General features: G+C 39.0%; 1 protein-coding gene across 5 annotated transcripts in view, besides 2 other annotated features; it reads right to left on the bottom strand.

The window, feature by feature from the left end:
* DYNC1I1 (dynein cytoplasmic 1 intermediate chain 1) overlaps positions 1 to 13,389 on the bottom strand; it is a 337,769-nt gene that overhangs the window by 203,130 nt on the left and 121,250 nt on the right. The window lies entirely within an intron of this gene.
* Positions 1,729 to 1,929: a silencer, noted in NCBI's record as "peak6645 fragment used in MPRA reporter construct". NCBI's record gives its function as "represses an SCP1 promoter by STARR-seq MPRAs in K562 erythroleukemia cells {active_cell/tissue: K562}" and the evidence as "EXISTENCE:reporter gene assay evidence [ECO:0000049][PMID:32103011]".
* Positions 4,419 to 5,010: an enhancer, noted in NCBI's record as "eDlx#27 fragment used in the reporter transgene". NCBI's record gives its function as "activates a minimal E1b promoter in the olfactory bulb of transgenic zebrafish {active_cell/tissue: olfactory bulb}" and the evidence as "EXISTENCE:transgenic organism evidence [ECO:0001131][PMID:22914741]".

Here is a 13,389-nt window from a genome sequence, read left to right as displayed (position 1 = left end):
TTACCTGAGAAGTGTGGGACAAGAAAAAGCAAGTAGCTCAGAGATCAACAGCTCTGTTTTTGACTGAGCTGCCGATTTCAAAGCGGATGTTCTGCAAGCAGCTCTCGGTAAGGAAGCTGAGAAAGCACAGCTGCTTGGAGAGCTTAAGTGGTTTAGCTTAATTCCTCTGTAAACTGTATTTTAAATGACTATGAAACCACATTTCTGTGACTGGTATTGTTTAAAGAGATGGAAGCCCAGCTAAAATGCTTTGGTTTTCTTTCATAAATATTCAGATTTATTCTAAGACTTTTCCTTCACAGTCTCTGAGAATCAGCCACTTGCAAGCAATGAAGACTGGGCTGCCCAATGTGTGTCCTGAGACCTCTGTTTGTCACAAGCATTTAATTTTCTTGGAGCTATAGTAGACTGTAGTTTTTCAGGTTGCTTGATAATGGGGCTTTCTATAAATAAAAGAAGCAAGAGCAAATGTACTCCACCCTGATTTCCTCAAAGACAAATTCTCCCACCCCAGTAAATATAAGCATACAGCTTAAAGGTCTGTTTTTTGAATAACAAATAAAGCAACTAAGTCTCAATCTTTTAATGAAAAAAAAATTAAGGCTAATTCTAGGAATAAATGGAAGTGAAAGATAAGTCCTTCACCGAGATCAAGGACTCACTGTGAGCACATGGTGGAAAATACGTAAAGGTGGTGTTTTAAAGACCCTCAGAAAAGTTTGATTAAAAAGCAAGAGCCACAGATGTATAAAAAAAGGAAAAGGCATCAATAAGAATTAAGCCTCTCACTCTGTGACAAGTGATTGAGACCCTTTACATTCAATATCTCATTTACTTTTTACGAATATCATATGCAGTGAATTCTGTTTCCATACTCCTAGATGCAGAAACCGTAGCTCAAGGGGATTAAGTAACTTGCCCAAGGTCACAGTTATAAGTGGTGAAATAAGAATGCAAACCCAGGTCTCTTTGGCTCACAACAGTCCATGCTATATTCATTACACCACAACAAGGAGAAGGCTTCCAGAAATAATAGAAACTTCAAGAAATATATTTTACATATAATTGAAAAGGGCTACTGACTGAACATGTCTATCAGAAAACTTGAAACTGTTCTCTCTGTCTTTCCCAGAAAAAATATAGTTCATGCAATAATCTGCAGTGCATCCTCACTGGGTCCTTACCGTTGGGAAGCCCTGTTGCTAAGAAGCATGTCCCCAAGAAGCATCCAAGCCAATTGGAGAGCTATAACACAGAGAGATAAAAAGATAGCTTATAAAGAACAGTATATCATTAATATTGAAATGAATGACTATAAAGACTACAAAGTGTTCTAGTTAAGATGAGAGAGAGCTACTTTTATATTGGGCTGATCAGTGGAGAGATCAAAGCAAAGGTGAGAGTGGGACTTAATCTTGAAGGATGGGCAAAATTTTAATCTGCTCACAGTGTTGACAGGATAATGAAATGCCATCTATGAAAAAAAAAAAAGCCCAGACACAATGGGGCGTTAGTAGAAGTCCAGTCCCTATCCCTACCCGAAGAAAGACAAACCCCCTGGCGAACATCTCATGCAATAAAATGGAGGATAAACCCTTCAGCATAATCAGGGACCCCACGTGAGTTTGAGACATAGGTCAGGAAAGAAGAAGGGCAATATTAGCATGAGTCTTAGAATCTCTAGTTGCTAAACTTAGAGGAAAAATGACAGTGGCCTTTTTAAGAAAAAGGGGTGCAGAAAATATGAGTCTGCAGCTGAGTAGGTCTACAACTCCAAGTATAGAACCTTGTCAGCACTCGAGTTTTGTATTCCTGGGAGCTATCCAGGGTACTGACCTATTCCATTCCGATGTCACTGACCCAGTGGACCAAGGCTTGCCTTAGTGTTTCTGCACACGCAACATGGGAACCTCTTTACTTCATCCACTCTGAAACTACTGCTATTTATGACCTCAATTACTTTCCAAGCCAAAATGCACCTTGTCTGTTGCCTGTCATGGTTTATAATTCTAGGCCATCAATTTGGCTTCCAATTGGCATTCCAACAGGTAAAGAAAACAGTGGAGGCATTGTAAGTGAAAACAACACTTTAAATAAGGGTCAGAAACAATAAATTGACCCACTTGCTTAAACTAGAGAACTTACACAGGGAAACTGTAGAAATGAACCTGGAAATGCAGGCTGAAATTAGCTTGTGAAAAGTACTGATTTCAGTGATAAGGCATTTTGACTTTTTGCATAGGCAACTTCAGCATTCTGAAACTTTGAACAGAGATGTGACAAAAGGAATGTTGGGAAAATCAATATAGAAATATCATGCCAGTGGGTCAGAGAGTAAACAATCAAGTGGCAGGCAGATAGTCCAAAGAAGGAGCTAAAAGTTTTTAGAACATACACTTTAACTGACAATTCTTTTCAGAGATATTGGATGTCAAGGAAAAAGTTTTCCAAGAATTCAAGATCACATTCCCTTCTGCTATTTACAGAAAGCTTATTATTGGGATGTCTGTATATATATATCTTTGTGTGTATGTGTGCATGTGTATATGTGTATATATATATATACATACACACATATGTATACATACATATGTATTTTTACATATATATGTAAAATCTCCCCAATACTAACCAACATGCAAATCCTAAGAGAATGTTCTGTGATGTCCTGCATCTGCCATTGGCTGAAAATGTGTCTCTTCATCTCCCAGTCTCCAGTCTCCTCCCATTTTGTTATAAATAATCTGACCAATTTCTCAATGCTGAGTATCTGTCACTTCTCTTTTGCAGAATTAGCTAGGCAAAGCATATCACTTATGGCTTACTAGGGTGCATCTCCTTCTGTCCATCAGCCCATCCAGCAGTTGCTCTGGGAGTCAGCTGCCTCCATCTTACACAGATGAGCAGGGAAAGAGGAACTGAGGATCAAGGGCCTGAGGTCTGGCTAGGGTCCAGGTCCTTGGTAACAGTACTCTGGAAGTAATGTCATGTGGATTCTGTGATGTGATGCCCTTGCACCATAATGCAGTTGCCAGATTTAGGGCAGTCTAAACTTCTCCATATACCCTAAAATAAAGGGCTAACCAAGCCCACTTATCAGCTGCCTAGTACCTATGCCTCCAGAAAAATAAGGCAAAACTGGACTAGAAATCTTTTGATCTAGCCATAAAATGTTGCCAAACTGTCAACACATTCTCAGGATACTGCTGCTCCTCTCCACCCACCTGTCTCTAGGCTCTCTTTGGGAGTTGCTTTCTGCTCTAAGCCAAGTTATCTCACAGCAGCATCCACTGCTTTCTAGCATTCAACTAAGTACACCCTACCAATGATGCACATTCTCATTCTTTGGAGTCAAACAGAGATTCAAATTCTGCTTCTACTAATTATTGGTTGTACCCTCACACAGCTCCACAACCTCTGTAAGCCTCAGTTTCCTTACCTATCAAAGAGGAATGATTGAACTTTCCCCACAGAGTTGTTATAAGGATAAATTTAAATAAAGGATCCACTTAGCAAGGCCTGGAAAATGGAAGCATTCAATAAACTATGAATTGTGGTGCTAATAAAATGATATCATTTCTGTTCTTTGCAGAATATTCACATGACAGTTGGTTTTCCCACAAGCTGAAACATTGCAAACATTAAGTCTCCTGTCTGCCTCTTTGTGTGTGGGTCTATCTTTTAATCCAGCTCCACTTATTTTCTTCACTTTTACTTCTTCTGGGTTCCAGTCCTTGGCATGGATTACTGTCCAGCTAGAACTAGCTGTGACTAGCCTTGCTGCTCCCTGTTGGAGGTAGAAAAGGATGCTTCAGAAAATACAAGGTGCCACACTCTTAAAATGAACACTTCCCTAAATAAGTTGGAAGCATTTGGGTAAAATGGCACAAAACACTTTGGAGAAGCACAGTTTGATTTCAGTGTGCAAAAGATGTAAAAACTAGGAGAAGGTAAATATGTTCTTATTTCCCACCTTCAATATACGGTACTTACTACTAAAATACTAACTATACTAAATTGCCTCACACTTCACGTTTCTCCTTAGTGAGGGTAAAGATAGCAAAAAATACTTGCTACCAAGATTTGGCCATGGAGTACTGTAATATTTTGCACTCCAGATGAGGCTGCACCACTAGGCTATCTCATGCCCATTAACAATTGCACAAGGCTCAACTAAATTAATGATGTTCCTGAGTCAGCCTGGAAACAGCCGGTGCTTTTCTAAAAACAAAAACACTGGACCAACTAGAAAGATAGCTTTCATACTGTTCTCCATGGAATAAGATGGGGGTAAAGTTTTCACACATGAATTAAACTAAACTGAAATAAGCTGGGCCATTGTTTTAATAAATTGAGGGAATGTGGCTGGCAGTAATTAGAATGGCCTGAATAAAGAACACGTTGAACTCCCTACGCTGGGGGGAAAGCACTTGGAATATTTCATTAGGAGGAGGAGACAAGTGGATTTAAAACATATCATGTTTTTAGACGACTACGTTTCCCATGCATATGAGGCACAGTATAAATAATACTATAAAAAAATGCCATGTTCTTAAAATGCAATGGTTTCCCCAATATATAACATGAATGTAAACAAGATGTCTGTCAAGCATAGCAATAACATATTGCTTAACACAGCAAGCTTATAATATGCACCTATTATTCTTGCTTCTCTTAATGAAAGAATCTGAGGACACTGCATAAATTCTTCAACACATGTTTCACTTCTTCAGCTGCCTTGTGCTGTAGAACATCATGCTAACAAGAAGTGATGCTAACAAGAAGCTAAAACCAGTGTAGCAAAGGGGGCATTTAAATATATATAAACATAATGGCATTCACAAAGAAAGGAGCTATTGGAGGCAACTAAATGGATCCCTAGACAGACATATTTTAGTTTAATATTCCATGTATTTTTCTACATGCTAACTATTTCAGTTCTGCTCAATAGCAGGAAAAAACACGCCACTGGAGAACAAGAAGTCAGCATGCAATTATCTCCTGGGCTCATATACCAAAAACAATTATTTTTTGGGAAAGGAAAAAGACAGCCTCTTGAATTTCACAAACTTTCTTTGGTCACTTTAGAGCCGCCCTTAAATACCAATATTTGCAGACAGCAGCTAAAGAAACAAAGATTGCACTGCTTATACTAAACAACCCATCTGGCAGCTCATGTGCATTCAGAAAACCTGGATCATTTTATGCACTGGCCCACTAAAGTTGGAGAATCAGTTTCAGATCTTACTCTCTTAAACATTTGTTCAGCATCACCAGGGAAATCAGTTCTTGTTGTTGATTGAGGCCAAACCTAAAAAGCAGTGATTTCTGTTATGTATTCAGAATGAAGAAATGGCTGGTCTTTTAGCCTAAATTATCCAGGTGTTTGGCCAACCCTTAAGCAGATGGCAGCCCTCATCTCACCATACTAGGCTTCATTCATCTGTTGACATCCTTTAGATTCCACAGCCTTCATCAATAAGCACTGTCAGTAAGCAATGCTTTTGCAGAGAATTGAACATTTTGAAAATGGCATTTTTGGTCAATTAAAGCAAGTTTCACATTAAAAGGAGAATTTGGGATCCTAAAAAGGCAATATATTGAAAATAGTTCAAGAGCCACACTTGGGTTGGAGAGGAGGGGGATAAGTACAAGCTATTTTTAAAACAGAAAAGAAAAATAACCTGTTGAATTTACAGATTATTGGAAAAGATATTTGGTGTACACCCTGCTTCAGTCTGAAGAATACAGTGTAGCTCTCACTCATTTGTGATTATTCTTAAAAAGTAAAGGTAGCAAACAGATGCAATGATACATTCTACTACACATGCAGAGAACTCTGTCCCTTTTACTACAGCCTGTACTATGCCTCAGGCTCCAGGAAACCAGTCTGATCTTGGCCCAGATCTCACAGGCAGTCCAAGTTGGTCTGAACAGGTTCCAAAAGAACTGTGCTCCAACCTAACTGGGCACTAGTCAATGACTGTAGAGCATCATTTAAGCTGAAAGGGATAGTTATCTAGGCCTAAAATCAGCTGGAAACATACAGCTGCCATGTCAGCAGTCTGCCTTTGCCGGAGGCTCTGGCACACTTAGTTGGGATCCTTTGTTATTTCCATCCAAGCTGACATGATTGCTTAAAAAGGAGGATGCCATGTTTGTTTGTTTTGCCACACTTTATTTTTTCTTCCTCCTCTATATCCAAGAAACAACCAAATAAGAAATTAAAGGACCTTTTAATATTTTCTTCTTATTCCATTTCAATTGGAGAAAATCTTTCATTAAATACACTCAACTTATTTAGAAGGAACACAGTCTAAAATATTTGGTATTGTGCAACTCATTCCTTATATGTTATTTAGAATGAAAATCTCATGAAACATACATGGTATGATTCTTCTTAATAAAACTTTTTTATTCCATTTGTGCTAGGATTTTTTTGAGAAAGAGAGGATGGATGGCAAAGATTATATACCATACAACTTATTTTCCAAGTAAACCAGGGCATCAAGAAAAGCCCAAGTCTTACAGGATCAAACCCTCGTATTTTCCCTAACTGATATTATTCAAAATGAGTTTTAATGGTGAGAGGATAACTTCCATGGGGCAACCATTTTCCACATGGATTTCCAACTCCAAATCTCCTTAGCAATGACCTCAGCTTGACTCCAAATTTAACTATACACATCTAACCTCAAGTGCAGCTTCTCCAGCAAACCCCAGATAGTCCTTATTTTTCTTTCTAAAGTAATGTGTATATTGTATCCAGGCCATGATGGTGGTGATTATTATATTAATAAAGCTACTGTTCCCTGGAGATGTGGCTTTGTGGTTTCCAAAGAGCCTTCTACCCTAGCCAAGGAGGAGGCAAAAACTCTTGTATGGGTTGTTTTGCAATGGTTTGTGGCAAAGAATAGCAGAATGTCACAAGAAGGAAGTAAGAATTAAAGGGGAAGGGAAATTTGAAGAGAATACAGCTAGGATTCCTTTCCAGTGGCATGCTGAGCACAGGCTATGGAGCAGTGTTGAAAATGCAGTAGGATGGACCTCACTATCCATGGAGCCTCGGACGCCCTCTACAGACAAGCTCCCCAAGCTGTGGCCGGAAAAGGCAGCAGAAATACACATGCAGACCCTTTCTGGGTCATCGTCAGGGCAAACTCATGTGTCCCATGGAACAGATACCTCCTTGCATACAAAATACAGGCGAGCACCTACATGATAATAAGCACATTATTCACCACTATTTCTGCAAGCTGCTCTAAAATCAGAGGCTTTGGGGAATAAGAAGGCAAAAGAGATACATACAGAGGTAGAATAGAAGTCAGATAACAATGGTAGAAGTTCCTGGAGAATATTCATAGAAAAGAATTAAATATTCAAAACTTACTTTAAGATCAGAAAAAAATCTAGTGATGTAATTTTTCTTCCCCTCCGTGCTTTAAATATCCTAACATGCTAGAAACATTGAATGAAAGTGGTGGTTTCTAACACACTCCACATGTAGCATTATCCTTACCTGTGATTTTAAATTAGTTCAGCTCACAACGTGCCTGAAGGAGTGGTTCACTCTCTCCACCAACTGCTGTTCTCCATCTCCATTTTTCAAGGAGTCATTGACTCAAGCTAATATATAAAAAATGTCCAGGATGATTCTGACTTGGTGGAACCAACACATCAGACCTGGCCATCTGGAGTGGAATGTGCCTGGGATTCAATCTCAAGGGTGCCCAGTATGGGGAAACGCTGACCTCTGACTTGAACATCATTTCAGCCCAAGAGTGACCAACAGAAGATTCAGATTTCATGGCCCATGGAGGCATCCCGGCACCAGTTTGTTTGTGGTTGTTTTTTAAAGCCCCTCTGGTGATTCTGACATATAAGCAGGGTCAGAAATCCTTATGCAGAGCAAGATTACTATGCTTGGAAGCTCTGTCTCCAGATGTAACATGGTCCCTTCCCCATTGCTTTGACATTTTACAATTCTACAGGGCTTCCTTCATTCACTTAATAAATATCAATTGAGTATCTACAATTTGTAAGGCACTGTCCTAGGTGGTGGGGGTAAGCAAAGTCTCAAAACAAGGTCTGAGACTTGTGGATTTCACATTTTTGAAATATTAAAAACAATATTTTACAAGTACTTGGAAAAAAAATCAAAAAGCCTACCTTTACTTGGTGACAAAACAAAAGCATTTTAAATGCCAGATTGAGTTTTCAATAAAGTATTATTTTTAAAAACGTCTTTGTGTTGTGGTTTATAGGATAGGTTGTTGTATTTTTAAAAAAAGAGATTCCCATTTCCATAATGAAATCTTCGAGTCTAATCACCAGGATAAGTAAAGATAGTCCTTATTGTCCAGGGCATTAAACTTAATCAACCTCTTCTTTAAGCTCATGAAAGCGTTTCTTTCACCTGCCTCAACTGGAAAACAGTCATTTGTAAAGAAGATGAACTCACAATCAAAAAGTAAATAAATAAATCCTCTGTGCAGTGGATACACTGAGGAAAGTTAGTGATTCTTTCCTTTGCATAAAGAAGTAATTTTATGGATTTACTTTCAGATATAAAAATAAAACGAGGTAGAATTTAGATCTTTCCACTGCCTACTATTTTACCCACGTCTGAATTTTTGTAGTTGTCTTGGCCACACATCTGTGAGCAAGTATCTACTAGGGCATATTTCAGAACCATTCATCCCTTATACCCCCAATCACCCCAAGATGTTATATGTAAATAGCATATGGGGGAACAGAAGGGATGGAGAAATGGGCTTAAAAATTAAACATTTTTAGTCATGTTATCTAAACCAGGGACAGATCAGAGTCTTGTTCTGAGATGCTTCACTAGTGAACCTTGGAACAACAATCTAAATTCAATGGTGAGACAATTGGCTGAAAACTCTACGGGATTTCCTAAATTAACACAAAACCCAGAGGCCCCAGCAGGTGGCCAAGTTTGATATTCAAATCATTAACATTTGGCATGTGGAGTTTCCATTAGGACAAGTTTACCACATGATGGACAATCTGTGTAGATTTGCAGATGTGCCGTGCGTGGCCATCTAACCTGTGTGGAGAGAATAATTCCCAGCAATCTCCACCTGACTATTGCTGAAGGCAATGTCCAATCAAAGTGCAGAGCTCAGAGAATAAATGAGTTGCTTTGACAGGAAATTCCAACAGCAATTTTAATTCTGATCAGGCTTCAGGAAATGGAAAGAATAAAAACACATCAATTATAGTGACAGGAAGTTTTAAATCACATGGCGAGCAGCTGCTGCCAAAAGATGTGTCTGCCAGCTTTGTTAAGGAGCCCAGTATTTTGGTGTGACCAAAATTTTACACCAAAATGTTACAGGCTGACATCACTCCCTAATTGCATGTTATCTCTCTACAAGGGTAAAGAAAATGACACGCTACTGAAAGCATATCATTATTGCAAAAAAAAAAAATCAACTCAACTATAAGGGTTTGGAACACATTTAAAAAAATGAGCACATACAAATATACTGCTCTGCACAGCAAGCAGATCTGCCTGCCAATTAAGTCGCAACCATACATGGCTGATTATAATCTTGTTTAATCAACACTCAGGGAGGACCACTCATTCCACTTCATGACAAAGGGCTAAATTCTTCTTTCCTGCCCTCTAGGCCTCCTATTGAATAGGCTCTTTCTCTTTAAGGTGTATTTCTTAATACTTTTAATCTAGATCCACAGGAAAGAATGCCAAAAAAAAAAAATCATGGTCAATAGAGGACAAGTCAACACAGGATGGGCTACACTGTCTGGGGGGCAGGGAGAGAGGTGACTTTCTATATGGTGTATCAAACAGGCCCTACCTTCAAAAGAGTTTTAACTCAGAGTCACTCTAGACAAATTATAACATAAATTCATTTTCCTAGGATTTATAAAGTGCCTTTCTATAAAGTTCAAAGGGGGCTCAGGACTTTCTCTGGTTTGTTGCTTTTCCTGCTTCCTGCTTAGGAACCTGGGGATAGATGTTAATGACCATGTGCTAATAAACGACCCATGGAAGAGGTTATAACTCAATTTCTACTTTTCCTCACCCAATTAAAGGCTTCCCTTTTTCCTAAAATTCCATAGGCCCTGGCATATCCCTCCTTTCTTAGCTGATAAAATCCTGGTCTATCAACTTTCACTGATAAACTACAGATAAATTTCTATGTTGGTCTTACAAGTTATAAGCAATGGCATCGAACAAGTATTTAAAAGTTATTTTCACTGTTCTCAGTCTAGCAGTGTTTACTAACATTTGACATATTTGGGGTTTTAGAAATTTAAAAACATGCCCTTCAGTTGGATACAGAATAAATTTTACTGTTTAGCTTTCATATGGGGATAAATAAAACATAAACAGAATTGATGAGAAAGATCACGGATTGACATTCTAGGCTCCTGGAGGGTAGAAACAATATTTTAGAGTCATTTGTAATTCCCACAACACACAGCAACACCATGAAATAATAAGCAACTTGGTTTCTGATTTCTCACTGGCCTTGCCTGTGTTTGTTTACAGGTGGCATAGTTTAGGGGAAAGAGTATGGGATTCTGAGTCGGACTGAGCTGTGTGTGAAACCAATTCTAAATGTTTAATAACTGTAACTTTAGGCAAACTTCTTACTCTCTTTTTGTCAGTTATCTTCTCTGAAAATAGGAATAGTAATAATACTTAACTCATAAAGTTGCTGAGGGGATTCAATGAAACACTGAATTTAAAGTAGTCAGTGTTAAGGCTTGATATCTAGCAAATAGAAACATTAAGTAATATAAGCACGCATTATTAGTAATGTTGGTGTTAACAATCCTCGTCAGTTTACCCTTTTGCCTCATATTTTGCCATGATGTTTAGGACGCTCTCAAGCTTGGCACATTTCTCCAAGAAGACCACCTTCCTTTAAGCTAAACTGACACCACCTTAGGATTTAGGGCTTAGGGCTCAGGGCTCTTCACCGAGCAAGCCTGGGCAGATGGTGCTGCAGGGATGTTCTAGTCCCACCTGAAGCCGCTATATACTGTGTCTGGACTTGCCTAAGAAAGTGGCCATCAACAAGCAAGCTATTGCCAACCCTAGTTACTCTGTAGCAGCCCAGCTTCTGCTATAATTTGTCCAGCACCAACACTTCACAGACTGAAGGCTAAATGCCTTCTGCCGGCTCTTCTCTCAGATAACTGCCCTAGGAGGGGAAAGGTGGAGAAGATGGTTTCTCTTGCCTCCCTCTCAAGCTGACTCTGAACTGAGGGTCCATCATCAGGGCTAGCAGGCCCCGCTTTCACTCAGCCCTAAGGTAATTAGTGGCATAAGACAGGATACTATTAGCTTGGTGCAAACATAATTGCAGTTTTTGCATTGTTGAAATTTGCTGTGTGATATTGGAATACATTCTTAAATAAATGTAGTTATGTTATATATCACTTTAATGGCCATTTCTCACTTTTTTTTTGCTAATGACTTATTACTTGCTGTTTATTTTATATTTATTTTAGACAATGGAAATGATGTTAGACAAAAAGCAAATTCGAATGATTTTCTTATTCGAGTTCAAAATGGGTCGTAAAGCAGTGGAGACAACTCACAACATCAACAACGCATTCGGCCCAGGAACTGCTAATGAATGTACAGTGCAGTGGTGGTTCAAGAAGTTTTCCAAAGGAGACAGGAGACTTGAGATGAGGAGTATAGTGGCCAGCCATCGGAAGTTGACAATGACCAATTGAGAGCAATCGTCGAAGCTGATCCTCGTACAACCACATGAGAAATTGCCGAAGAACTCAACATGGACCATTCTATGGTTGTTTGGCATTTGAAGCAAATTGGAAGAGTGAAAAAGCTGATAAATGGGTGCCTCGTGAGCTGAGTGAAAATTGAAAATATCACCATTTTGAAGTGTCATTTTCTCTTATTGTACTCAACAACAATGAACTATACTCCATCGGATTGTGACATGTGACGAAAAGTGAATTTTATACAACAACCAGCGATGACCAGCTCAGTGGTCAGACCAAGATGAAGTTCCAAAGCACTTTCCAAAGCCAAAGTTGCACCAAAAAAGGGTCGTGGTCACTGTTAGGTTGTCTGTTGCCAGTCTGATCCACTGCAGCTTTCTGAATCCCGGTGAAACCATTACATCTGAGAAGTATGCTCAGCAAATTGATGAGATGCACTGAAAACTGCAATGCCTGCAGCCGGCATTGGTCAACAGAAAAGGCCCAATTCTTCTCCACAACAATGCCTGACCACTCATTGCACAACACACAACCAATGCTTCAAAAGTTGAACGAATTGGGCTAAGAAGTTTTGCCTCAACTGCCATATTCACCTGACCTCTCACCAACTGACTTCTTCAAGCATCTCGACAACTTTTTACATGGAAAATGTTTCCACAACCAGCAGGATGCAGAAAATGCTTTCCAAGAGTTCATTGAATCCCGAAGCACAGATTTTTATGCTACAGGAATAAACAAACTTATTTCCAGTTGGCAAAAATGTGTTGATTGTAATGGTTCCTATTTTAATTAATAAAGATGTGTTTGAGCCTAGTTATAATGATTTAAAATTTAAACTGTGATTACTTTTGCACCAACCTATTACTAACTAGAAGAATCTATGAAGAAATAGCTAATTCCTAAGTTTGAAAAGAAGATACACACTCTTACACCCTATGCTTGCAGTGCTAATACAATAGACTAAATGTTTATGTCCCCCCCCCAAATTCAGGTATTGAAATCCTAACCCCCAAGGTAAGGGTATTAGATGTAGGTCCTTTGGGAGATAACTGGGGATTGGTACTCTTATAAAGAGACCCTAGAGAGATCCCTTGCCCCTTCTATCATATCAGGAGACAGAGAAGATGCTTTCTATAAACCAGAAAGCCAGGCTTCACCAGGTGCCAAGTCTCCTGGAATCTTGATCTTGGACTTTCCAGCCTTCAGAATTGTGAGACACAAATTTCTGTTATTTATAAGCTACCCAGTTTATGGTGTCTCATTATAGCATTCTAGATGGACTACAGCAACTAATAATCTGGGATGTTCCAGGATGCTTTGCATGGGTGGATGAGGGAAGGGCAGGTATTTACAATATCACTTGATAGTAGTATAATATCAACATGTTAAATAGTTATCAAATTTCTTCATAAGTAACAGCAGAGGCTTCATCAGAGATTCTCATTGTTTGGGAAAGGGTTATCCACTGAGGAACCGAATAAATTTTCACATCACTTCAAAATTTTCTTTCAGTCTTTCACAGGGCAGACTGCAAAGAGATTCCAAACCCAATTCTCCAAGTCCCAACCCAGTAAGCACACTCTACTGTTTCATTTAATATTTTTGTTTCCTGTTCTTTCCACTTGGCTTTGTTTGACA

Source organism: Homo sapiens, chromosome 7 (assembly GCF_000001405.40).
Source record: "Homo sapiens chromosome 7, GRCh38.p14 Primary Assembly".
In the NCBI taxonomy this organism is placed as follows: Eukaryota; Metazoa; Chordata; class Mammalia; order Primates; family Hominidae; genus Homo; species Homo sapiens.
Note: the sequence above shows the minus strand (reverse complement) of the source record. Positions and strands in the feature narration are given on the sequence as shown.